The sequence below is a fragment of the Homo sapiens genome, chromosome 11, assembly GCF_000001405.40.
Source record: "Homo sapiens chromosome 11, GRCh38.p14 Primary Assembly".
Classification (NCBI taxonomy): Eukaryota; Metazoa; Chordata; class Mammalia; order Primates; family Hominidae; genus Homo; species Homo sapiens.
Genome location: NC_000011.10, coordinates 134248072 through 134273908, shown reverse-complemented (window position 1 = coordinate 134273908; position 25837 = coordinate 134248072). Strand labels below are relative to the sequence as shown.

Genomic DNA, 25837 nt, shown 5'->3' with positions numbered 1-25837 from the left:
CTTCTTAAAGAAATGTATGTGACAACTGTATAATAAGAACCCTTGTGAGATCCAAAAACCTGGGTTAGGAACTAATATTATCAGTGAAAAATTAAAGGGAAAGATTATCAACTATTAATATTCCAGTGTCAGAGAGCTGTGAACAAAGAGTTGAGGCAGAGATATCTTTAAGGTTAAAGTATGCAAAATCTGTTGTTTACTTGTAAGATCATCTTTCTAGGTTTATTGATAGTTAATAAAAAGCAGCAAAATTTATAAAAGTGAAAATTTAGCCACTTCTACTTGTAAGCCATCCTTGTTAGAGAAACTCTTTGTTTACTTAAGTCATGTTTACTACAGGAAATGAAAAATGCTCATTTGAGCTATAAAATGGACTCCGTGGTCTCTTAGTAATTAATTTAACCCATGATGACACGCAGTTCACAGGCTGAGATGGAGGGATAGGTAGATGACAGATACATCCCTGCTAGAGATCTTCAGAGCCCTAGCTTTAAATTTCATCCTTACAGACATTCAAACTTTAAGTAAATTGATAACCTGTCTCCCACAGATTAAAAAATAAATGAAGTGGATATGCACCCCATCACGCAGGGCCACTCCCAGCAGAGGGAAGTGAAGCAGCCGGCCTCCTGTCCCTCCACAGGGTAACTAACGCTCAAGTGCAGGCCTTTCTAAAGGAGCTGCTCAGCAGGCGGCAGCCCAGCTCGGCCACCGGGCTCTGGCTGTTATCATTCAAATGTGCCTTTTTTATGGACTGAGTCTGCTAGATGCATTCATTAGTTAAGGAAATGGAAAATCATGCGGAGCTCCAGGTGAGAACCCAAGGTTAAAGTGTGTTCTCAAGAGTCTTCTCCCCTGGGAGTTGAAGTTAATCAGCCTGATCAGGTCGGGGGGGAAGGCTTCCTCTCTGCATGAGTGCAGCCTTGGTGATGGAAAAGGGCCACCCTTGAGAAGGTAAGAGAGGAGGGAAGATCGCTGTCTCCATGGGGCACCCAGCAAGAGGCTGCTGTCCTTGCAGATAACCTGATCCATTGAGCTAAGAGCTGGATGGGGAGTGTCTGTAAGAATATTAAAATCCTTATCCAAAAGTGATTTATTTTCATCAGGTTTTTTCCTCTGTTATGAATAGCTGACATTTACCAAGCACTCGTGTGCCAGGCACAGTTCTGCATGTTTGACATTTCTGTCTATTGTCTCTTAACTCTCACAGCACCAGAAAGCGGGTACCATTAGTATCCCTCCTTTATCAGTGAGGAAACTAGAGCACAGAGGCTTTCAGTGACGTCACACAGCAGGCTGTTGACAGCTGGGATCTGAAGGCCCTGGAATGGAAAGATTCAGTCTCATATTGCCCAATTCGGTTCGCTGGACTCTGCTCAGCAAGCAGCCGCGTGCGAAGCACTGCTCTTGTTCAAACTAAGTGAGATGGCCTAGGTGAAAATGCTTCAGGAAAAGCACACAAATGCACTTAAAATTAAAGTATAACCACGTGGCTAGCAAAGCGGAAAGTGAAATGCTTCTAAACCATCAGGTCTATAAAATAAACTATGGGAACATGGAAAACTATATCCAAATATTAGAAGGCTTAAAAATTCTTCTGTTTTTTCGGCTGGGCGTGGTGGCTCACACCTGTAATCCCAGCGCTTTGGGAGACCAGAGGTGCACACCATCATGCCAGGCTAATTTTTGTATTTTTTGTAGAGATGGGGTCTCACAGTGTTGCCCAGGTTGGTCTCCAACTCCTGGGCTCAAGTGACCTGCCTCCTCAATCTCTCAAAGTACTGGGATTACAAGGATAAGCTACCACGCCTGGCCAATTTTATTCTTTTGTATGTGGGTATCAGTTACTACAGAATAAAATCCAACTCCTTGGCATACCAGACCCCTTTACAGTTCAATATTGTTTGTGGGGATGGGGAGGGGGCACAATCACTTTCTCAGAGCTTTGGGCCTCAGAAAGTCTTGCCTCTGGTCAGGCTTCTCCCTGAGGAATGCCATGGAGCACAGGGGCTTCCTGAACCCTGCCCTTGGGGCCTGAATCTCAGGCACAGAACCCCTTACTTAAACACTGAAGCCCAGACCCAACCACCTGTCTCGCCACTGCCCTGTTCTCCCACCTTGCCTTGACTCAAATCCTTGATCACCTGCGCTCTCCCCTAAGCAAGCTCGGAACTGTGGGCAGGGAGGGAGGCAATACTGGGCTGCCCCTGTGCAGCCGGTCTGCAGACCTGCCTGGACACCACAGGGCTCCCATGCCACCCGTGTGTGGATATTCCTCCTCCCATCACTAACTCTAAGCCCTGGCAGCACTAACCTGTTTTCAAACTCTATAATGGCATTGATTCCAGAATGCCACGTAAATGGATTACACAGTGTGTTGCCTCTGAGTTTGCCTTTTCACTCCCTGTGCTGCTTTTGTTTTGTTTTTTGGTTTTTTTGCTTGTTTGTTTGTATGAGACAGAGTCTCGCTCTGTTGCCCAGGCTAGAGTGCAGTGGCGTGATCTCGGCTCACTGCAACCTCCACCTCCTGGGTTCAAGTGATTCTCCTGCCTCCGCCTCCTGAGTAGCTGGGACTACGGACGCCCGCCACCATGCCCTGCTAATTTTTGTATTTTTAGTAGAGACAGGGTTTTGCCATGTTAGCCAGGCTGGTCTCAAACTCCTGACCTCAGGTGATCCATCTGCCTCAGCCTCCCGAAGTGCTGGGATTACAGGCGTGAGCCACTGCGCCCAGCCATGAGTTGACTTTTGATGGGATATCTTCTCTGTTACTGTGTGAGATTTGCCAGTAGCTGCAAGAAGCGATCATTGCTGATGATCCTTTTTTTCCAGTCTTTTTCTATTTGTTCAATAAACATTGAGTTCCCTACTATGTGCCAGGAAGGCACTGAGGATGAAGAGATGATTCAAATATGCTTCTCAGACTCTGATCACCTTCAAGTCTGGTGGAAGACTCTTATGCCCACACATTGGTTTGCAGATAAAATGGAAGTTTCAATAGAAACTTCCAGATTTTCTGTTGAAGGACCAGAATTTCTGTGTGGGAGGCTCAGGATCTTCATCCAGGTGGGGGTTGGGGAAAGTAACCAGTGGACTGTCTTGGAGCATTGTTTATATAAAGACTTGAGGCAATGGTGATGCCCATACTGAAGTTGGGGAGGCAGAGAACTGAACCATGCCGAAGAGCGCACACTAGAAAATTAACCCCAGGCCCCATCTTTCCTGGGCAGTGATGGCTGCCTCAGACTTGAGACACCTGCTTCTCAGCTGGGGTGGGAATTGGGCATCCCTTTCTTTTCTGTGGGACTAAATACCCCCTAGTGGAGGAAAGCTGAGATTCCTTTCTGTTTGTGGTGATAGGAGGTGCATGCTTTCTGTTTGTGGTGACAGGAGGTGCATGCTTTCTGTTTGTGGTGATGGGAGGTGCATGCTTTCTGTTTGTGGTGATGGGAGGTGCATGCTTTCCGTTTGTGGTGATAGGAGGTGCATGCTTTCTGTTTGTGGTGATAGGAGGTGCATGATTTCGCACTCTCCCCAGCCCCAGGATGCTCTGGTTCCAGATCCAGAGACTGGGTGAAAGGGGCAGGGAGCCGGGAAAGACAGGGACAAGGAGCTGGTGCATCCACACTCGACACTCACACGTGGTGACAAAGAACCTGGGTCCTGCCTGCAGTGTGGGAGAAGCTTTGAGGGCCCTGCCTTTTCACAGGGAGGTTGCAGTGGCACATTTTTCTCCACTCCAAGCAATGGAAAGACATTCTCTCACCCTGGCTCATTGTGTCCCTCCTCATCCACCCCTGGTGTCTGGGGTTTATTTTCAGTTGGAAGGACTGGCCAGTTGGGCATCCCACTTCATTCTCTGGCCCCTGAGGGTCCTTCTCCGCTTTCTTCTGGTGTGGGTTACTAACCTGGAATTGCTGCGGTGGAGATGCACAGAGCCATGCTGCTCCAGTCTGTTTACCGCACCACTGTGGCAGTCCCCCGTCCACTGCGGCAGTCCCCCTGTCCACGCGGCAGTCCCCTTGTCCCCCTACCGGGTCCATATGGACACGGAGAGCTTCCAGCCACACGGGGCTTTTACTGACCACAATGCCCTAGAATAGCAAGGCTTTCTGGGTGCCAAAGAGGAAACAAATTTGTGGTAAGAATAATGCATATGGAAGTATTTAGGGCCAGGCTCGGTGGCTCACGCCTGTAATCTCAGCACTTTAAGAAACCGAGGCAGGTGGATCACGAGGTCAGGAGATCGAGACCATCCTGGCCAACATGGTGAAACCCTGTCTCTACTAAAAATACAAAAATTAGCTGGGTGTGGTGGCGCATGCCTGTAATCCCAGCTACTCGGGAGGCTAAGGCAGGAGAATCGCTTGAACCCAGGAGGCGGAGGTTGGAGTGAGCCAAGATTGCGGCACGGCACTCCAGCCTGGCGATAGAGCAAGACTCCATCTCAAAAAAAAAATTGTATTTAGACAATGCAAATTTATGGACGGTGGGAAATTCACTGTGAAGCTGATGAAGCTGAAGCTTCTGGGCTCCTAACCTGTGAAACCTGTATGTGGCCCCCTCCTTTTTTTTTTTTTCCTTTATTAGACAGGGTCTTGCTCTGTCACTCAGGCTGGAGTACAGTGGCACAATCATAGCTCACTGCAGCCTCAAACTCCTGGGTTCAAGCCATGACCTCCCACCTCAGTCTCCTGAGTAGCTAGGACTGCAGGTGTGCACCAACACACCCAGCTAGTTTTTACATTTTTTATAGAGATGGGGTCTTGCTATGTTGCCAGGGCTGGCCTCAAACTCCTGGGCTCAAGCGATACTCCCGCCTAGGCCTCTCAAAGCACTGAGATTACAGGCCTGGCCTGTATGGACCCCTTCTTTCTAAGACCCTGGGAAAAAATCTTAGCAATGTGCTCATGTGCTTATGTTTTTGTAAAATTGACAAAAGGGAAATGCATTCCTGTCATTTACCCAGAAGAGAGGCAGACCAGAAATATTAGGTGTTCAGCACCACAGACTCCCAGACACAATCTTAAATACCTTAAAGGTCCTGGGAAGAGTTGTGCTTTAGACCTTCAGCCTGCCACCCGTGTACGTCTAAGAAAGCCCTTTATTCTCTGGAGGGCTCACTATGTTCGTTTATGAAAGAGGTTAATAACGCTTTGCTTGATATGCTCTGTTCTGAGCCCTTTATTCTTCCTCTTGATTCACCAACCATGCTATGAGGTAGGAGCTTTTATGATCTCCAATATACATGGGGAAACAAGCTGAAGAGAGTTGTGGTAATTTTGCTTAAAGCCGAAAGCGACCCAGTGACCCAGCAGTCCCATAGATAGTTTTTTGGATAAACATAGAAATTGACCTTCTGGTGTTAAAGCTTGAACCTTATATTTGTTTTATCTGAGTTCCTTCCTCAGAGACCTTCAGGCCTCTCAAAACAGGTATCAAAGAACTGGAACTCACCAGATCACTACATCCAGACGAGATGCCAGACCCCTCATTCATCACAATTGCTTCCGTGCCCCTTCCTAGTTCCTGCTTTCTTAACACATTGGTACATTTCTTCCCTGGTATACGACTCCCTAGTTTTAGTCCCTCAGGGAGATGGATTTGAGACTGAGCTCCCATCTCCGCGGCTGCAGCAGCCGATTAAAGCTTCTTCCTCTCAATACTTGTCATCTCAGTCATCGGCTTTCTGTGCGGTGAGCAGCAGGACCTAGACTGAACCCCTGGCATTTCGGTAACAAAGCCACACAATTAGTCAGTGGCAGAGCAGGCAATCACATCTAGATGTAGGAGTCTGGATCCGGGGCCCAAACTGCGGCTGCTGCCAGCACTGGTAGTTGCTGTTTTCCTCAAGTCAATTTCACGCTAGGATTTCTTGACTGTCTCCTCTGTGCAAGAACCCCTCATAAAAACCGAGAGATTGATACATGGAAAATGCTTTGGAGGAATCTTAGTGTTTTTAAAGTAAAAGTATCATTGGATCAGCACTAAAGTAAAAAAGGCATTTCTAATTTATCAAATCTATAAAGGAGGAAGAGAAAATTTTAAGATCCTGTAAATATTCTTGTGTGTGTGTGTGTGTGTGGGTATACAGTTAGATTTTCCTCACAACTGTAATAATTGGAGGCAGTTTGAGGAATTATTAGGATTAAAACCACGTGGAAATCCAATTCTGACCTAAGTCATTGTGTTATGACCGCAAGGCCTCTCATGCCTCAGAGCACGTGGTGTATGCCTTTGTCCTTGCCGCCTCCTACTGAAATTGTGTCTCCTGTTTCCCAGCCCCCAGTCCATTAGGTCTGTCCAGCGAAGTTGTATTTGGTTACCTGCATGTGTTCTGCACCTATACAGCCCCTGACACACAGGCTTTTCCTTAAGACATTTGTTGCTCTGGTTTTCTTGCTTTTATTTATTAAACAGACAAATGAACAATGATATAAATTAGCTCAAAGTTCACGACGTTCTTGCTACGTTCGTCAAATCCCTTGCCAGGGTACTGGGGAACTGAAATCTCTAAATAACTGAGAGTGATACTGAGAAATGCACTTTTAATATGATTTCACCAAAATCTTATGAAGGGGACACATAGGAAGACATTAACATAGCATTTGTTTTTGCTTTGAGTCAAAATAGAAGCCTCTCAGGCCTGGAATGCCAGGAAGCAGCCTGACTACTAGCAAGGTCTTCAAGTTCCACAGCAGACAGGTCTGCATTTGCTAACACTTGTCTTTCCTTCCACCTTCCACATCCAGCGTGAATTGCCACATTCCTTGACTATTTCAAGAACCCATTGACTGGTATGTCTTCTGTCTTGCCTCACTCATATTCATCCCACATGTGCATTCCAGAGTGCTCTTATGAATGAATCAATCTCCTATCTTCCGCATTAAAAACCTTCCATGGCTCTCCACTGCTTACCAAATAAAGCCCCACCCTTGGCTTTCATAACTCTCCATCCGGATTCAACTTCTATTTTCCTTCTGTCTCATGCCAACCCCAAACCACAATTAAACCAAAGTGTAAACAGCTTTTACATAAATCCTGTACTTTTCCTGCTCCTGGTTCCTTCCTGTCTGAAATTGACTTTCTTGATTCTAATTAGACGTTTTCATAAAATCTTTTCTTCTTTTCTTCAGAGACAAGGGTCTCACTCTGTCACCAAGGCTGGAGTGCAGCGGTATGACTGTAGCTCACTGCAGCCTCAAATTCCTGGGCTCACGCAATCCTCCCACCTTAGACTCCCAAGTAGTTAGGACTTCTGGTGTGAGCCACCATGCCTGACCACATTCTCATAAAAGCTTAATTTGAATCCCTTCCTCCCTCATCACTTTTATAGGTTGTCGCCTTCTCAGCTTTATACAGATCTATATCATTGCCTTGCAATACAGCTCTTAGCTCCTCTTAAATAAGGCCTTGGGCGGCAGGAATACATTTTAAACTTTGTAGTGTGCCCACACCCTGTCCTCCTGCAGCACCCAAAACTTCCTTCATTCAAAAAAGACAGTATTTGTTGTTGTTACAGACACATATTCTCTTCTCTCTAAACATTGGCTTGTAGTTAATGTCTTGCGTATTCTTTTCAATAGGGATGAGGGGATGGAGTAACATAGTAAGTTATAACAGAGCTCCCCTGGCTGGGCACAGTGGCTCACACTTGTAATCCCAGCACTTTGGGAGGCCGAGGTGGGCAGATCACTTGAGGCTAGGAGTTTGAGACCAGCCTGGCCAACATGGTGAAACCCTGTCTCTACTAAAAATACAAAAAGTAGCCGGACGTGGTGGCTTGCGCCTGTAGTCCCGGCTACTTGTGAGGCTGAGGCAGGAGAATCGCTTGAACCCCAGAGGAAGAAGTTGCAGTGAGCTGAGATTGTGCCACTGCACTCCTGCCTGGGCGACAGAGCGAGACTCTGTCTCAAAAACAACAAAAAACAGCAAACAAACAAACAAAACAAGGTCTCCTGAAGTCCCATCTGTGAATCTCACTTTAATTCTACTTTCATACATCATAAACAATGCTTAGTTTGCAAAGTTATTAATAATTTAAGGAGCCTGCTTTTTAAAAGCCAAATTGGACGAGAGTTTTATTATTCCAAAATCCAGTTAAGTGTTTAATCAAATACAATTAAACATTTAAAATAAAAATCAACTATAGTAGAACCAGAGGTGGTGAAGGATAGATTTTATCAATGTGATTAAAAATATTTAAAAGGAGGAACAGCTTCAGAAAAGGAAACAAAAACACAAAAAAAATATTCAAAGTGTTTATCAGGAAAAGAAACACTGAATAGCACTCCTAGACCACAGGCTTCTTAACATGAAACCCAACGAATATTCAAAATTCAAAAGTCTCAGCCCTTGATATTGAGGCAGTCCAGAAGTAGAAATACACCCTAAATCACAGCTTAGGAGTAAGTTTCCAAATATCCATTTTATCATGATTTACATTCAGAGGTGTGCTATCCAGAGAAACCTTCTGCATCTGTAGCTGTGGCACAGAGAACGACACAGACAGGAGGGCATTCCTCCATTTCCCCTTCCCACACCTTTGCTCTAGAATCAGGAAGAGCATCAGTGAAAGTCCCCAGGCCCCTAGAGGAGGGATCCAGTGAACTAGTAAAATGCAGACTAATCAAGATAAAGTGGATCCAAGAAAGGACTTTCATGGTTTGACGGTGAATCTTCACTGGTCACCCTTCTGGCATTAGGAAAACAAGGTAGTATGTGTTCTTCTGATGTTTCTCATCAGTCCAGCTCTTCCGGTTCCACTGGGGATTCTGCCCCAGTCCAAGACCCGATGCTGGTGCCAACACACAGGGTGCAGGTCCTGCCCTAGAGGAGCTCAGCCCTTGGGTCTAATCCATGATTCCTTTGGAATAGAGCGGCCCACATGGCACCACTCAACACTGACTGCAGTCGCACTGAACACCAGGCCAGAACAAGTGTGGGTTCTACTCCTGAAGCAGGCTTCTAGAGATCAGTATCCTCATCACTTCATTGCTACCTGTAAGAGGGAGGAAGGAGGAAGAATTTCACAGCAGCAAAGTCTGAGAGTTTAGTAAAGCTCTGACCAGGCTGCTCCAGGCCTAGTTCAGAGTAGCTGCAGATTTAAACTACAATCATTGCTTTTAGCCTGGGAGAGATGAGATTATCAGAGACTTCTCTACAAAGTACTGAAAAATGTCAGGAAATAATACTTTTTTAAAAACTTCTTCTGATGGTAAAAATGCTTATATAAAGTTTAAAAAGGCAGAATAAAAACAGTATATACAGGATAATTCTAATTAAAATTAAAAATGTACCAACAAAGGCAGAGTAAAATGCCTAAAAGGAGATGTACCAAAATAACATTCTGGATGTAGAAACATGAGTGATTTTTTTTCTTTTACTTTTCTTTTGAGACAGTCTTGCTGTCGCCCAGGCTGGAGTGCAGTGGTGTGATCTTGGCTCACTGCAACCTCCGCCCCCCAGGTTCAAGCAATTCTCTTGCCTCAGCCTCCTGAGTAGCTGGGACCACAAGCATGTGCCACCAGGCCCCACCAGGCCCGGCTAATTTTTTGTATTGTTTTTAGATGGAGTCTCACTGTCACCCAGGCTGGAGTGCGATGGTGCAATCTCAGCTCACTGCAACCTCCACCTCCTGGGTTCAAGCGATCTTCCTGCCTCAGCCTCTCGAGTAGCTGGGATTCCAGGCATGCACCACCACGCCCAGCTAACTTTTTATAATTTTAGACAGTCGGGGCTTCACCGGGTTGGCCAAGCTGGTCTCGAACTCCTGGCCTCACGCGATCCACCCGCCTCAGCCTCCCAAAGTGCGGCGATTATAGACATAAGCTACCGCACCCAGCCTACTTTTCCTAATTTTATAAGGTTTCAACAATAAATACACATTTCTTTGGTAATCAGAAAACTGACTTACAAAAGAATGAAAACATTTTCCCTGAAAGGAGGGTATCAATTATTTGCTTCATTTTTAGCAGTGGCCTTTAATGCAAAAAGAAATATAAACCCCCTCGAGGAATCAGTAGTCACATCGTCTCAAATAAAGCATAAACTGTAGATTTATCCAACAGTAAAGTCCATGATGAAACAAAGTGATACAGTGATGAGTGCCCCAATTCTTCTGTAAGTGGGTGATGGTGTGGCCTACAATAAATGTTTTCCTGCTTATTATTGCAGGGTGGAGAGAGAGTTAGAATGAAGGCGAAGTTTCCTACGCACATAAAGCTCAGTGAGAAAGCAATTCCAAGAGTAATGGAAGGAAAACGACTCTCGGGAATTCAGTTTGAACACTGGCGACTGAGCCCATAAACATCTTTCTGGAATGAGGTTTGCAGAAGAAAGCAGCGGTCTAACCTGTGGTAGCCTGTGACTCTGACATTAACACCAGAGCGGTGGGTCTCAAAGTGTGGTTCTCAGACAAGCTGTGGCAGCCTCACTTGAAGACTTGTTGCAGATACAAATTCCCAGGCCCACACTAGACCCTCTGGAGCAGAAGCTCTGGGGTTGAGGCCCGCAATCTGCGCTCCCATGCCCTCCAGGCGATTCCAGCACAGGCTGAGGTTTGAGAAGGGTGCTGTGAAAGGGGCAGGGAAGCCCCATTATATAATGTTTCCAGCAAGGCAGCCTCACGTTGCTTCACCGAAGTCACTCAAAGAAGCCTCTGCCCCTCCTGCTTTTCCAAGAGTCGTGTCATTTCAAGACTTCCGCACTGGCTGTAGAGAGTGGAGACAGCCAGGCTCCGAGCCCGACCCCAACGGCTTCCATGTTTCCTCGATAGAATGTCTGTGACTACCAAGAAGATACCCATATAGTGATGGTTTATTTTATTGAAAAATACACTAGTAATATTGAGACAGGTATCTTTTAGGCCATCTGGCTGATAATCAATATAGAGCTACTGATGACCATACTGGCTCACATTTGCCTTGTCCATCACTGTTCTTGGATCCCTGAGAACCACGTACTCGATAACCTTAGAGAAAAGCCCCGGCTGTGGTTTTCAACATGCTTTCTCATCCATTATCTCAGTTCACCCTTCTCGCAGATCTCCAGAGGAAAAGGGCAGCAGCAGAGCGATCTGAGGCCCCCCGAAAGGGACGAAGCTGCGGCTCTGGACTCCAGGCCCCTGCCAGAACAGCTCTGCGGAACGGGAGGGAGGAGGAAGCCTCGAGACAGACAGGGCTTGACTGCACCCTGAGGCCCAGGAGGCATGGGGACAGAGAGTGGGGAAAGCAGCGATCCCGCCCCCGTTCTGAAGGGAAGAGAATAACCTCTGGCAATTTTTACCTTCTAGAATCTGGTGGACCCTGGAGTCCCGCACGTACTGCTGAACAGCGTAATCCTTCAGGTAGCCGTAGCCCCCGTGCATCTGCAAGGCCTGGTTGCAGATCTGCAGGGAGACAGGGACTAGACGTCTTGGACTCTGGGAAGACTGTGGAGCAAGCAGCTTCCCTTCCTACCCCAGCCCACGATCTGGCAGCCCGCCATAAACCCATGAAAGAACCACAAACAGCCAAGCTCAAAGAGGGCCTCCACATTCTGTATGGTTAGAGACAAGGGAAGTTCACCTACTAAACTTGTCAGTTCCCCCCAGACAGGCGACTCAAAGCCCTCTGCCCCTCTCCCTTATTACCTGCCAGGCAGAAGCTGCCCACAGCCACCCTGGCTGGGATGATAAAAAGCTATGGTTCCCCCTAGTGGCAATGCAGCCTGACAATGTAAACATGGCAGAGTGCTAAATTGGGGCTGCTGTGAACCTTCCAAAGGTGGTTTCTCGCCTAGAACACAACCAAACAACAGTGACATAATGAAGTGTATAATGGCATGCAGCAGGCCTAAAAGCCAGCGATGAGAGCTCCCACATAGGCCGCTCATGAGTTCATTTATATCCTTAAGCTTAAGGTGATCCTTGTGGGATTCCAGGAGGGCTGGGTTCCAAATCTGACTCATGTCTCTCAAGACCCCTGGGCCTAGCAGCTGTTCCCTGTCCATCCCAGGAGAGCCAGAGGAATCACTTACGGCAAAGCATTCATCTGTAGCAAAGAGCTTGGCCATGGAGCACAAGGCCACTGCATCCTTCCTCTCCTCCTGCAGAGCCACTGCTGCATTGCGGACCATCAGCCGCGCGGCCACCAGCCTTGTTGCCATATCAGCCAGTGTGAATTGCAAGTACTGCAGCACAGGGAGCAGAGAACCAGACAAGACTGAGGGGCTTAGACCAGCACCTGGTGCAGGAGCCTCGGTAAGACATCTCGGAGGCGCCTTTTCTAAGTGATCCAAAGCTTCAAAGTCTCTTGCTTTTTCTATAGAGGAAATTTATTGCTTTTAAGTGCTAAGTCCACTTCACTCACCCGACACTTTAATATCGTTAAAGATATCCCAAGAAAAGATGGACAGAAATAAAGCACAAGCTCTGGCTAGGACAGTGGTGGGACTGACAGAGGAATTTCCTGGCTTCTCTCCTGGAAATGTGGGCCCTAGAGCAGGTCCCGGGCTGCAAATAGTGCAAAGCCATGTGGAGGCAAGGCAGAGGTTACCTGGTTACTGGCCAGAGGCTCTCCAAACTGCTTCCGGACATTGAGGTGGTCTCGGGTGAGGATGACAGAGGCGTGGGCAGCCCCCAGGGAGCAGGAAGCTAGAGGGGAAGAGCGCCGACGTTCCAACCAAGCTGGAAAACAGCAGTGCCTGTCCCGGACCGCTACCTCCCTGCCACACCCCTGCGTATCTCACCAATATTGATCCTCCCTCCGTTCAGTCCTCTCACGGCAATGAGGAAGCCCTGCCCCTCGCTCCCAATTCTGTTGGCCACAGGGACAGCACAGTCTTCGAAGATCACAGCTCGTGTTGGCTGGGAGTTCCACCCCACCTGGCAAAAATCAGGGACTGCGTGGTTGCCCAACAATCCAGCAGGTAGGGCGGCCTTCCCTGGGGACGGGAGCCTGTGAGGTATGGGTTTCAGCACCCAAGACTTAGACCCACAAGAACTTAAAATGAGGAAAAAGAAAAAGTTCAGGTTTAAAGGCCTGTCAGCACTCAGAAAGATACCTGTTTCAGCTAAACATTTTCTAACTTATTAAGAGAATCTACTAATGTCTACTCTACCTGACTAACCTACAAACACTTCTCACAACTTCTTTTAGGATTGTGACACCAACTGCCCCCAATTTCAGTGCCTCTAATTGAAAACCACAAACTATCTACAATCTCCCAGTTCCTCTCTGGCTCTGAAAATAGACTGCCTTTACATCATTTCCTTGCTCTCTTTTGTTGATAGGATAAACTCCATTTCTAAGCCTTTTACTGAAGGTCTTCCTGCCCAGGAGTTAGCATGGGCTTCACACACAGTAGAAGCCTAGGAAATGGTTGCTGTGTTACCAAAGAGAAGGGGATGCTAAAATGCATAATGCCTTACAGTTACAGAGGATCAGGAAGGATCCTGTAGGAAAATACAGAAACCCGAGGAGCTGTGAGAAAGAGGTACACTTAGGGGTCATTTCATTACCTGCCTTCTCTCACAAAGTCCCCCCATAACAGTACAAACTAGAGAGAGATGACTGCTTTGAGCATCTGGTCTAAAAAATCTGAATGGGTCTTGAGCCCTTATTACCAATTACGGTTACATGATCACAAGTCTCCTGTTCATGCCCTGGCCATGGCGGCTCTTAATCCTAGAAGTATCTTACTTTTCAAATTACTTACAGTACCTAAGTGTCCTTCTTGGGTTGCTGAAATACCCACAATCATCTCCAATGAGTTTTACTTTATTTTTAATCAAAGAAGCAAAAGGGACCACACGCCTTCCATTACTGAGACTTGTGGCCAACACCAGGTCTTCTCTAAGCGTCTCTTCCTGGAGCAACAAAGTGCACCAACGTAAGCAGCTGGATAAGGAACACAGGCCAAAAGCAGAGGCAGGAGAGGTCAGAACACTCACAGGTGGCTTGAAGAATTTACTGGCAAACATTGTCACTTTCCCCAGAGGCCTAGTGTTTAATAATGCCCTGTTGTATTTCATATGCTCCTGTTGAAAATCCTAATAGAAGCAACTGCTTCAAAGGTAGGTTAGCAAGTATGCAAACCTGTTTTCTGAAATAGAGCAGGAGTTGGGCTGGCAGGTGGCAGAGTCTCATAACCTGAATTGTTTCCTGTCCAACAGCCACTCACCTTTTTCTCCTTCTTGCCAAAGCTGAGGCCAGGGGTCCCCTTCTCAACAACTATGCATGAGATGCCCTTGGGGCCTGGTCCTCCTGTTCGGCACATGACCACATAGATGTCTGACTCACCAGCACCACTGATGAAGGCCTGTGGGGGTAAAAGGGGTGCAAAAGGACCAGGGAATGCTTGAGTTCTCACAGCGTCTGGGAACACCACTGGGTCCTCCTGACAATAAGGTCCAATGGCACAGAGACTGACAATAAGGTCCAATGGCACAGAGACTGACAATAAGGTCCAATGGCACAGAGACTGACAATAAGGTCCAATGGCACAGAGACTGACAATAAGGTCCAATGGCACAGAGACTGACAATAAGGTCCAATGGCACAGAGACTGAGGTGAGGTAAAAGGTCGCTGCAGTGACTGCAGATCAGAGAGGCAGTCCAAGAGAGTATAAAAAGGATAGACAAAAGTCAACGAAATGATCTGGAATCAGATTAGGAGAGATACAAACAGTGAGAATAAAGAAAGAGAAATGGGTCAGAGGTTCTCTTCCCAACACATAAAAATCCTATGGGAGTATTAACCCGCGGATGTGAAGGAACCAGAGGATGTCAGGAGGAAGCTGGGAACAATCTCCAAAGTGCTCTGGGAGGACGCACGCTAGTACCTTGGAGCCATTGAGGATGTAATGATCTCCCTGTTTCTTAGCGGAGGTCAGAAGAGAGGCAGCATCACTCCCACTTCCTGAGGAGGGATCAAAAGGCAGCAGAGAGAAGGTGAGAAAGTCAGTGAGGTCGAGGGAGCCCAGCACAATTCTATCTTCTAGGAAATCTTCTCTAAACAGACCCTGCTCAGAGTGTGTCACTGCAAAACCCAAGTGGCCAAAGGAACTCTCTGTACTTGGTGGAAACTGCTCATACCAGTCAGGCCACTGCCTACCTCCCAACACACCAGATAGGCTTCTTGGTCCTTGTGACATCAGGTCACAGGACTCTATTACTCCTCAACCAAACAGCTAGATAAACAGTGGCTCGACATGTCAAGAGGCTGGAAGGAGTGCTCGGTAATGCCATCTGAGCAGGAAGCATCTCTCCCTGCTATATCTCAGTGCAGTGTGGCAAATTCACCTGGTTCAGTGAGGCAGTAGGAAGCAAACTTCTCCATGGTACAGAGCGGTGGGCAAAATTTGTGCCTCTGTTCCTCATTTCCGAAGCTATCAATCATCCAGGCACACATGCTGATAGGTACACCAAGAAGAAAAGACAATGACAGAAATAAAGATGGAAAAGAAAAAAAAATGGGGGAGAAGGGGAAAGAGAACAAAGGGCAGGGCAGTGGAGTAAAGCAGAAGAGTGGGAAGGGGAGAGTCACAATTGGGAAGACTCTTTAAAGGCAAACGGTGGATTAAAACATATTCCTGGAATAAGGACTACCCAGAGATAACCAGGCTGAGGTACTTCTCACCAGCACGTTTGTACTACTTCTAGTTAGGTTACACGAGCCTCTAAAAATCAGAGTTATATGTGCTTTCTATTAGTAGTTTCTATTACTTCCTCAAATCACTGGCAGTTCCATCTTTGGATTGAGGAAAAGGGTGAGAGGGGCCGGGTGCGGTGGCTCACATCTGTAATCCCAGCACTATGGGAGGCCGAGGCAGGCAGAACACAAGGTCAGGAGTTTGAGACCAGCCTGACTAACATGGTGAAACCCCATCTCTACTAAATATGAAAAAAAATTAGCCAGGTGTGGTGGCACGTGCCTGTAATCCCAGCTACTCAGGAGGCTGAGGCAGGAGAATCACTTGAACCGGGGAGACGGAGGTTGCAGTGAGCCGAGGTCATGCCACTGCACCCTAGCCTGGGCAACAGAGCGAGACTCTGTCTTAAAAATAAATAAATAAATAAAAGGGTGAGAGGACCCTGATCACTCTATTGGAGAAGTCTCCTGGTACCAGCTCAAAATAAGATTTCTGAGAAAGCTGGCTGACCTGATTCCCTAAGCAATACACAGGATGACAGAATCAAGTCCAACAGGCAGCAACAGACCTAGCGTGTACTTATTTTATTTATTTATTTTTTTTGAGATGGAGTCTCGCTCTGTCGCCCAGGCTGGAGTGCAGTGGTCCATCTCGGCTCACTGCAAGCTCCGCCTCCCGGGTTCACACCATCCTCCTGCCTCAGCCTCCCGAGTAGCTGGGACTACAGGCGCCAGCCACCACACCCGGCTAATTTTTTGTATTTTTAGCAGGGACGGGGTTTCACCACGTTGGCCAGGCTGGTCTCAAACTCCTGACCTCGTGATCTGCCTGCCTTGGCCTCCCAAAGTGCTGGGATTACAGGCACGAGCCACTGCGCCCGGCCCCTAGAGTGTACTTTTAAGTCCAGTTCCTTGAGGACACTCAGCTTCAAAAGATCAATCTTTTTCCTACGAATCTGAACTCTCACAGTCAGCCCGAGTGAGCACTTCATTGTGCCTTCCAAGCTTGGGCACTCACTTGTGGATGCTTATATAGGCTGTGGTGCTGGTGCAGCCTGTAGCCAAGGCTTCAAAAATGACAGAGGTATCAAGACGTGACAGCCCAGACCCGCCCACATCTGTTTGTATGTAGACCCCTCCGAAGCCTAGCTGGGCTGCCTTCCGCATCACATCCACTGGGAACAGCTCCTATGTACAAAAGAGAGCAGGGTGATCAGCAGCTGATTCAGAGACGGCCTTCCTTTTAGAGGGCACAGTGAGGGATTAGGAGGCTTGCACATGCGACAGCGTATGAATTCTCTTAATATGCCTGTTTGTCATCTTACAGTGGTTATCAGTTAACATGGGTCCTGTAAAAACTTGTTCTGGCATTAAGAAGTTTCTTTTTATTATCTATAGAACTGCCTTAGTTTTATATCCAAATCTTTATTCAACTAACAAAAAAAAAGTTATGTACAAGATGATCAGGATGCCTTCTAGGAAAAATCATCCACTACCGGTATTCTCACTTGCAGTAAGAGTTGGTAAGTGGAGGAGACATTTAACAATTACATTATCAGGAGACAAAGATAAAGGTCTGCCTGAGACATCTGTTGTTAGAACGTCTAAGCACAAGAAAAACGCCTACCTTCTGGTCCCACTCTGCCATATTTGGAGCCATCTCTCGGGCAGCAAAGTCAAAGGCCACTTTTTGAAATTCTTTCTGCTCTTCATTAAGTCCCATGGAAGCTGTGGGCAGGATTGCATATACTGTTCTAGGACAGGGTCAGTGTTGCCAACAAGGTGTTGCCAACAAGAAGCACCACGAAGTTGTGAAAGTGGATCTACTGTAGTATTTCCCATACACGGTATAGCCTTTAACAGCTAGAGAATGGCAGCTTCTGTCGTTATTCCACTTGTCATATGGAGAAAGGACAGTTCTAGCACACATCCAGATCAACCTAGAACAGGATAGGGGACTTCCAGACATCTCTTATCCTAGCACTTAGTAAAATGCAGTTGTAGACCTAGAGGTTGAGGCCACAGTGCTAGAACTTTGGTCATTATAACTGACACTGAAGAGCACTATGGGCTGGGCGTGATGGTTCACGCCTATAATCCCAGCACTTCAGGAGGCCGAGGCGGGCAGATCACCTGAGGTCAGGAGCTCAAGACCAGCCTGACCAACATGGAAAAACCCCGCCTCTACTAAAAATACAAAAATTAGCTGGGTGTGGTGGCGCATGCCTGTAATCCCAGCTACTTTGGGAGGGTGAGACAGGAGAATCGCTTGAACCCAGGAGGCAGAGGTTGCAGTGAGCTGAGATTGTGCCATTGCACTCTAGCCTGGGTGACAGAGCAAGACTCTGTTTCAAAAGAAGAAAAAAAGAAAAAAGAGCACTATGGGAAGACTATGGCGCCACACTTGGCAATAATTTACTTCAGTGCCTACAAGCGATGCAGTCCTCACAGAAGAACACAAGGGCAGGTGCCAGAGTCTGTTCCTTGGGGCAAATCTGGGCATCAGTAATGGCTGGCTATGCGAGCCTGGAGAGGGCACTGCTTTCTGTGATCAGTACTCTCATTAAAATGGGAAAGTCAGAAATGAAGAGTTCTGAGGATTAACGATTAGGCTGCCTTGAGAAACTCAGAGCAGAAACCTATGTTGGGTATTACCCTCAGGAACAGAGTTAGGGATAAACAATTCATGGTTCTCTGACTGGGGTCAGGCCATTTATTCACACAATTTTGTACAAGGGTTGCTGTTACTGTAGACCATGGCTCAAAGATCATTTCCAAAAGAATGTTTATTGGGTGTTTACTAGGTAGCAGTGCTGGGGTTACAAAAATAAATATGATCCAGCCAGGCGCAGTGGCTCATGCCTGTAATCCCAGACTTTGGGGAGGCCAAGGCAGGTGGATCACTTGAGGTCAGGAGTTCAAGTCCAGCTTGTCCAACATGGTGAAACCCCGTCTCTACTAAAAATATAAAAATTAGCTGGGCATGGTGGCATGTGCTGTAATCCCAGCTACTTGGGAGGCTGAGGCACAAGAATTGCTTGAACCCGTGGGGCAGAGGTTGCGGTGAGTTGAGATCGCACCACTGTACTCCAGCCTGGGCAACAGAAAGAGACTCCATCTCAAAAAAATAAATAAATAAGATCCATTCACACAAAGGATGACTATTTCAATCCTAGCAAGAGCTCATTAAATGTTAACAAATCTTCTTCTTCTGTAAATGGCTACTTCCTAAAACAAATAGTTCAAGGAACCACAGGCTTAAGAAATAAATCTGAGTTGCATTCTAATGGAAGGAAATAGTTTTATGCAAATCATATGCATAAGTAAACACAAGTTCCCAGAAGGAAATACAGTATAAAAACAAAACAAATACCACCACTCATGAACTTTGCCAGTTACTAGCAGAGTTCAAGATGCCAATACATAGTTACTAGCAGAGCTCAAGATGCCAATACATATACACTAAAAAGGTAAAGCTAAATAGAAAAACACTCCAAATGAAATGGGAAAAGCCTTTGACTGCAGAGCCACTCAAGTGTAAGCAAGATGCAAACAATAACAAAACCCACCTCTAAATAATTCCTTATCTGCTTCGGTATCAACCAGGGTAATCTGGGTTATCAAATTCTAAGCGCTAGGCCAGGGCAGCACCTCTTGAATGAGTTTTAGGACATTCAGAAGAAAACAGTATTCTATGCCTTACTGTACTTTATAGATCTGATATCTAAGGGACTTATTCTGTTGTAAAGAAAACTGCCATTTATTTAAAATAAATTTAAAAATATTTCAGAAGAAAAAAGTGTTTATAAACATTCTTGGCAGAGAAGTCACAAACTGGCCGGGTCTCCACCACTCCTCGCTACATTCAAATTACTGTTCAGAGCCTAAAGACACTCAAGTTTGTCAGCTCTGGTAGAGTTTCCCACTGGCAATAATAATTATTTTTCCTGCATGAGTTTCAACACTAAAAGTGTCTTATAGCCAGAGGTGTTAAGATACCAAATCTTTGTGTGTGAGCAAATCTTGTATGACCTGGAGTTCTTGTGCAGTTGTCACCATCAGCACCCAGCCAGCTTCTTATATTCTCACTGCTTTTATGACCTACTGTTATGATTAAAAACCAACCAACCCAACAACAACCAAGCCCCAAGTTTCTTCACTTCTCTAAGCATCCGAGGGTGACCGGCCGCAGGAGGACCCGGGCCGGAGGGGAACCTGCGGGGGGATGACCGGCCGGAGGGGAACCTGCGGGGGGTGACCGGCCGGAGGAGGACCGGGGCGGGGGTGACCGGCCGGAGGAGGACCGGGGCGGGGGTGACCGGCCGGAGGAGGACCCGGGCAGGGGTGACGGGCCAGATGGGGACCCGGATGGTGGTGACCGACCGGAGGGGGCAGCCAGGCCGGGGGTGACCGGCCGGAGTAGGGAGCCAGGCCGGGGGGGTGACTGGCCGGAAGGGGAGCTGACGCCGGGGTGACTGGATGGAACGGGGAGACTGCAGCCCCTCGCGGACATATGTCCGCCGGGGTTCTGGACACCTGTCCTACTGCCCGCCAGGAGATCCTTACGGTCGATGCAGGAGGTCAAGCTCCGGTGGCCGGTCTGGACGAGGACCCGGAGACCGCCGGGCAGGCAGCCGAGGCGCGCCCCGAAACGCCGGCAGCCGCTCCACAGCATAGCCGCCGCAGCTCCGCGTTCAGCTAAGAGTCTGAACGCCTTCGACCTCCGTTGCGCTCGCACTGGCGGGACCTGCGACCCGGCAACGCCTGTCCCACTGCACCCTGGGGGTTGTAGTCCTCCCACGAGCCCTAACAACCCAGGTGCCAGGCGGGCTCCCAAGGGGACAGGACTACAATTCCCAGAAGTCCTCGGGGCCTCGGCGCCGCAGAGATGCACCGCCCACCAAGCGCCGCGGGGGTCGCGCTGCACAGCCTGCGGCGCAGCGGAGGCGGACCGCAGTCGAGTCTGCAGAGTGTTGGGTCTGTAGCCAGCAAATTACTTCATCATCTAGATTATCCATTCAGTTGATCCTAATTAGCAAGGATAACAAGGTAACACAAGGCTTACTTATATTCACCCAACAAAAGTGTCTCTGTGGAGCCACTTCCCAGTGAACTACATACTGAGATAGGGGTTCCTGGATGAGAAGGACCAAGGACAGAACCGAGAAGAGTTTAGGGGCAGGTTATGCGAGATGGAAATGGCGCAGATAACGGAGGGAAGGATTTGAGGGCTCAAACGTAGGCGTCTGTGTTTCGCAAAAGTTGGAGACGTTCTAGGCTGCCTCTCGTTGCCTCCATCTCGCTCTGCGCGGGTTTTGGAGGACATTAGCATTCTTTCTTGTATCTCCGTTGATTCCAGAATCGTCCGCACTAAAGTCCCCTGCAGCGTGACCATGTCGAGACCCCGGAAGAGGCTGGCTGGGACTTCTGGTTCAGGTGAGCTGCCCCTAGGCTGCACAAAGGCAGCCCAAGAAAAAACTTTTCTCGAAGAGCCTGTTTAGTACTCATTTTTCACTCCCTGCTTTTTGAGAACCCTTTGTGATATTTTTACTCCATTATCCTTAATCACTCTCCATCTTCTTTACTTGTCTCACCAAGCTCCTACCTACAGTTCCTTTTTCTTGTTTATTCAGGCAATGGTTGTTGTGCACAAAGACTCTTTGAGATACCAGGTGGCGTGCTAAAGAATATAAAGCGCCTGCTTGCGGGTGAACTGCAAACAGATGTGATGGGGTTCAGGAAAATGGATTGTTAAGTTTATGGAGGGAGGAATCACGGGGAAGGCCTCGAGAAGGATGTGGAATTTGAGCCCAGCCTTGAAGAATGGGAGACTTTCCACGGGCAAAGTTTAGTACTAAGAAAACGTGATGTCGTTTTTATAATCACAAAGATGGATGGCATTCTAAGTGGATGGAGGAGGAGGAACATTGGAAGGTACAGAAAGTACCTCTTTTGGGAATGACAGGGGTTCCAGATATACTACAGCACATTGCAGTTATTTATCAATATGTGGTGTTTGCAGTGGGCCTGTTAACTCCTAAGGGGCCATTAGGAAACTAGGTTAGGAAGGTATGCTGGGTTCAGAGCATTAGACAGCCATAAATGGTATTTAATGACAATTGATGTAGGGACTTTGACTAAATTCAGAGGCAGTATAGTCATTAAGTAGCTTCAGATAGACCTCAGTGACAGGTGCTGACCTCATATCTTGATTCCACCATTACTGGATGTGTGATCTGGAGCATGCTTCCCAGATGAAGAGTAGAACATCTCACAGGTTATGTAGATTAACCGAGTTAGGGTTAGGGTAACACATAGACCTTGGGCCCTGTCATATAGTAATTTAACAACTTAGCTACTGAATGCCTACTGTGTTCCAGGCACATTCTGATTGTCTTGGGATGAAATCGAATCATCACCATTTTTCTACAATGTCCTGAATGAACTGTTTCTTTCAACTTTTATTGGCACCTTCAAGGAGCAGAAAGGAGATGGGCCAGGAGCCACAGTGAGCAAGAAGGAAAGACGTATGAGATGAGAATAATAATGCTTTTATTATGCACTTATTGTAATGCCAGGCATTGTCTAGGCCCTTTGTATTACCTCATTTAAGCTTCAAAATAGTTGCAAGTAGGTGCTCAGTTTCCTCTTTCCTATGCAAAGGCATAGAAGAGAGAGTGAGGAAAGGAAAACATGTATTGACTACTGTCCGGACCTTTAATCCTGAACAACCCTGTAAGGTGTTCTTACCCTATTGAATAGATAATCCAGAAGATACCCTGTAAGGTAGGTATTCTTGTCTAATTTTTATAGATAAGGAAAGCTTCTTAACAGTAAGATTAAGTTCCTACAGCTGGTAATGGATCCATGATTTGAATCCAGGTCTGACTCCAAAGCTAAGCTTTTTCCATTATGAAACATTGCCTTTAACAAGCATGATCTTTTCTTTTTGCTTCTCCTATTGCAGACAAGGGACTATCAGGAAAACGCACCAAAACTGAGAACTCAGGTGAGGCATTAGCTAAAGTGGAGGACTCCAACCCTCAGAAGACTTCAGCCACTAAAAACTGTTTGAAGAATCTAAGCAGCCACTGGCTGATGAAGTCAGAGCCAGAGAGCCGCCTAGAGAAAGGTGTAGATGTGAAGGTGAGACCCTTGACCTGTCTCCAGTCCCTTCATGGTGTTTTTTAAATGAGAAGTGAATATGGGACACCATAGGGTTCCATCCCCAGCTTCTTATCTTTGAAGGGAAGGAAAAAGGTAAAAATGAATAAAATCGGCAGGGTTTATTATCATCAGCTGGTTTGTGAACCTGTGTATCTAGGGCAGGGGTTGGCTAACCTTTGCCACAAAGGGCCAGATAGTAAATTTTGTAGGCTTGTGCGTGTTACAGTCTCTGTTGCAACCCTGCCCTTGTAGCAAGAGAGTGGCCACAGATAATAAGTAAACAGCTGTGGCTGTGTTCAAGTTCAACTTTATTCACAAAATCCAGCATGGGGTTAGATTTGTCCTGAAGGCTATAGTCTGCCAACCTCAATCTTAGGTTACCTTTCTCTGAACACCTGCCATGCTCCTAGGTGTCTCCCTGCCAACAGTTGATGTATATTTCAGGGAATTTAATATAGCCTGGGAAAAATATAAGCAGAACTATTATAAATATAAAGTAAAATGCAAGTAACTAGCAGATTACTTTATCACCTAGATTATTCATTCAGCTAATCCTCATAATTAGCAAGGATAACAAGGTAACACAAGGCTTACTTACATTCACCCAGCAAAAGTGTCTCTGTGGAGCCACTTCCCGGTGAACTACATACTTCCTCTATAGCCAGTGGCCCCTCTCATTTTAGGGGAAGGAACTGTCTGCTTCCATATGTGCTTACTAACTGGCCAAGGATTGTTTAATGATTGAATTTATTTCCTCTTGCCTAGTTCAGCATTGAGGATCTCAAAGCACAGCCCAAACAGACAACATGCTGGGATGGTGTTCGTAACTACCAGGTAAGAGGGTAAGGAGGAGGTCGCCTGAGACCCAGGTGGGATGAATGCCTGCCTCCTCCTCATGACGTACTCAGTAGCAGAACCTCTTGGCCAAGGTTGCTTTTTCTCAGAAGCAAACCTGATAATGTATTAAAAAATGCCTTAAGTACTCTGCATGAAATTTTCAATTGGCCTGTGTTCTGGCCAATGTCCTGGTAAAAGTCTGGGTGTCCTGGCAAAGGGGAAGGACTTTCTAATGAATTGAGGAGTTGCAGACAAGAATCACCCATCTATTAAAAGCAGACTTGATTTCTGCTAAAAGCTAGTACTTTCCAGCTGGTGGGAGGATAGTTACTCTTTCTTCTCCCGGGACAGGCTCGGAACTTCCTTAGAGCCATGAAGCTGGGAGAAGAAGCCTTCTTCTACCATAGCAACTGCAAAGAGCCAGGCATCGCAGGACTCATGAAGGTTAGTTGGGCAGGTTTTGGTGTGAATCCCTTTTCCTCCAGGGAGACTAACTTAAGTAGATATAAAGGGATATACCTTAATTAGGCAACAAAAAAGTACACTCCCCCCCACCCCATCCCCCTTTTACAGGAATAGGGAAAAACTGCCCTGGCCCCTTCCTATCTGATAACTCAAAGCAGGCCTTCATTCAGGTCCGACTAGCACAGACTTCACTCCACCTCTAAGTCTTGATCTCACTCGAAAACAGGCCTGATGATAGCTCCTCCAAGCTTATCAGGATAAAATTATTAACTGTGCAGAGGGGAAAAAAACAGTGGTACCAGTAATAACCTTTGCCATTTGTTTTTAGAGCATGTTTTTAAGACTTTTGTAAAAACAGAGTTGATTTCCTAGTCTATATATTAGACTATATATTGTTTCCAAATATCTGAGCCCCCATTGGCTGTACAGCAAGGCAGATGGGTTAAGAATGTGCAGGGAAGAAATGAAAGTTGGATATGGATTAAAAGATTGGCTGTGGAGCTGACTGCAGGCAGATGATTCAAAGCTTTTGTTTTGGTTTCAGATCGTGAAAGAGGCTTACCCAGACCACACACAGTTTGAGAAAAACAATCCCCATTATGACCCATCTAGCAAAGAGGACAACCCTAAGTGGTCCATGGTAAAGACTATGCTTTCTATTTCATGACAGGGGAAGGATGAACCAGGGGAAGAAGACGGTTGGGGTGACTGTAGGTCAAGGTACACGGCCCAGCACTTACTCAGATGAGGTGATACTGAGATAGGAGCTTCCTGTGGGCGGTTAAAAATACAGTGGGCACAGTCAGCCTAGACACGTCTTTCTGTCATGTACACTGTTGTCACATAGGTGGATGTACAGTTTGTTCGGATGATGAAACGTTTCATTCCCCTGGCTGAGCTCAAATCCTATCATCAAGCTCACAAAGCTACTGGTGGCCCCTTAAAAAATATGGTTCTCTTCACTCGCCAGAGATTATCAATCCAGCCCCTGACCCAGGGTAAGAGTGGGCCCTCTCCTTTATTGTCCATATACCAGAATGACCTCATGAATTCCCACTTACTAGCTGATTAAACTTGGGCATGGTACTTCACCTTTCTCAGTCAGCATCCTCACCTGTAACACCCATGAGGGAGGGAATGTGGCCAGAGTTACCTGTTACTATTACCCAGTACTCTATAGTGCTTGGCACCTGGTAAATAGTTTTGAACGAATGACTGCTCGCCTTAGTACCATGTAAGATGTACCTGTGCCTGGCACAACTTTCCTGTTCAAGAGGGGACATTAAAAACTAATCCTTCCTTTTTCCCTTTTTTTTTTGTAGAAGAGTTTGATTTTGTTTTGAGCCTGGAGGAAAAGGAACCAAGTTAACTGAGATACTGCTGCTGGAATGGGCGAGACATTGCTGCAAAGAAGTCAAGCTTTTTTCAGACAAAAGGTGTGAGGGGGCTTGCTTGGTATGCTTACCTGGGCTTGTGTACCTCAGTGGTTTTTGTGTACTTTTTTCAATAAAATATCAAAGTTGAAGAACTTTTCTTCTAAAACCACACTGAGTGCAGTGGGATACTCCCCACTGCAGACCTCTTACCTCCAGGCGGGCTCCTTTGGCCGCTCCCAGATGCAGAGCTGCCTCCACCTTCTTTCTTTACGATCACTAGTAGTTCTGTAGCAAATTGCATGACGTAGGGCTGAGATCCTCAGTCTGGTAACACCCACTGGAATGAACTCTTCTTTCTA

At 46.8% G+C, this 25837-nt stretch overlaps 2 protein-coding genes across 12 annotated transcripts, besides 4 other annotated features; one reads left to right on the top strand and one right to left on the bottom strand.

Annotated features, from left to right (window-relative positions):
• Positions 512 to 1067: an enhancer, noted in NCBI's record as "OCT4-NANOG hESC enhancer chr11:134142736-134143291 (GRCh37/hg19 assembly coordinates)". NCBI's record gives its function as "activates a minimal SCP1, AML or CMV promoter by ChIP-STARR-seq in naive and primed H9 embryonic stem cells {active_cell/tissue: H9 hESC(naive and primed)}" and the evidence as "EXISTENCE:reporter gene assay evidence [ECO:0000049][PMID:30033119]".
• Positions 8054 to 20341, bottom strand: ACAD8 (acyl-CoA dehydrogenase family member 8). 7 transcript variants are annotated; one of them, NM_014384.3, is made up of 11 exons: positions 20200 to 20341; positions 17261 to 17361; positions 16652 to 16821; positions 15285 to 15394; positions 14825 to 14901; positions 14164 to 14301; positions 12730 to 12865; positions 12537 to 12634; positions 12019 to 12171; positions 11287 to 11389; positions 8054 to 9001 (listed from the first exon to the last, which is right to left on the bottom strand). In NM_014384.3, exons 1-11 carry the CDS (start codon positions 20306 to 20308, stop codon positions 8949 to 8951), a joined length of 1248 nt encoding a protein of 415 aa, NP_055199.1. In that variant the 5' UTR covers positions 20309 to 20341; the 3' UTR covers positions 8054 to 8948. The 7 variants fall into 7 exon arrangements, 6 of the variants coding, with proteins under 6 accessions (NP_055199.1, NP_001428067.1, NP_001428065.1 ...); NM_001441136.1 differs by lacking the exon at positions 8054 to 9001 and adding an exon at positions 9964 to 10573; XM_047426768.1 differs by lacking the exon at positions 8054 to 9001 and adding an exon at positions 10809 to 11139.
• Positions 11727 to 11776: a silencer, noted in NCBI's record as "silent region_4096". NCBI's record gives its function as "represses an Ori minimal core promoter by ATAC-STARR-seq in GM12878 lymphoblastoid cells {active_cell/tissue: GM12878}" and the evidence as "EXISTENCE:reporter gene assay evidence [ECO:0000049][PMID:35858748]".
• Positions 13279 to 13328: a silencer, noted in NCBI's record as "silent region_4095". NCBI's record gives its function as "represses an Ori minimal core promoter by ATAC-STARR-seq in GM12878 lymphoblastoid cells {active_cell/tissue: GM12878}" and the evidence as "EXISTENCE:reporter gene assay evidence [ECO:0000049][PMID:35858748]".
• Positions 20427 to 20796: an enhancer, noted in NCBI's record as "active region_5771". NCBI's record gives its function as "activates an Ori minimal core promoter by ATAC-STARR-seq in GM12878 lymphoblastoid cells {active_cell/tissue: GM12878}" and the evidence as "EXISTENCE:reporter gene assay evidence [ECO:0000049][PMID:35858748]".
• THYN1 (thymocyte nuclear protein 1) lies at positions 20557 to 25627 on the top strand. 5 transcript variants are annotated; one of them, NM_001037305.2, is made up of 8 exons: positions 20557 to 20610; positions 20993 to 21069; positions 22601 to 22779; positions 23566 to 23634; positions 23989 to 24081; positions 24647 to 24742; positions 24950 to 25100; positions 25425 to 25627. In NM_001037305.2, the coding sequence occupies exons 2-8, from the start codon at positions 21027 to 21029 to the stop codon at positions 25469 to 25471; spliced, it is 678 nt and encodes a 225-aa protein (NP_001032382.1). In that variant the 5' UTR covers positions 20557 to 20610; positions 20993 to 21026; the 3' UTR covers positions 25472 to 25627. The 5 variants fall into 5 exon arrangements, with proteins under 5 accessions (NP_001032382.1, NP_954995.1, NP_001032381.1 ...); NM_199298.2 differs by having other exon boundaries at positions 20557 to 20682; NM_001037304.2 differs by lacking the exon at positions 24950 to 25100.
• The last annotated feature ends 210 nt before the right edge of the window (positions 25628 to 25837 follow it).

Coding starts and splice junctions, on each gene's coding strand:
- ACAD8 (NM_001441136.1), bottom strand. CDS start 20,308: ATGCTGTGGAGCGGCTGCCGGCGTTTCGGGGCGCGCCTCGGCTGCCTG. Junction 15,395..16,651: donor GCCTATATAAGCATCCACAA/GTGAGTGCCCAA, acceptor TGTACCTATCAG/CATGTGTGCCTGGATGATTG. Junction 10,574..11,286: donor GGTCCACCAGATTCTAGAAG/GTAAAAATTGCC, acceptor CCCCTTTCACAG/CACCCTTCTCAAACCTCAGC.
- THYN1 (NM_001037305.2), top strand. CDS start 21,027: ATGTCGAGACCCCGGAAGAGGCTGGCTGGGACTTCTGGTTCAG. Junction 21,070..22,600: donor GGCTGGGACTTCTGGTTCAG/GTGAGCTGCCCC, acceptor CTCCTATTGCAG/ACAAGGGACTATCAGGAAAA. Junction 24,082..24,646: donor GCATCGCAGGACTCATGAAG/GTTAGTTGGGCA, acceptor TTTTGGTTTCAG/ATCGTGAAAGAGGCTTACCC.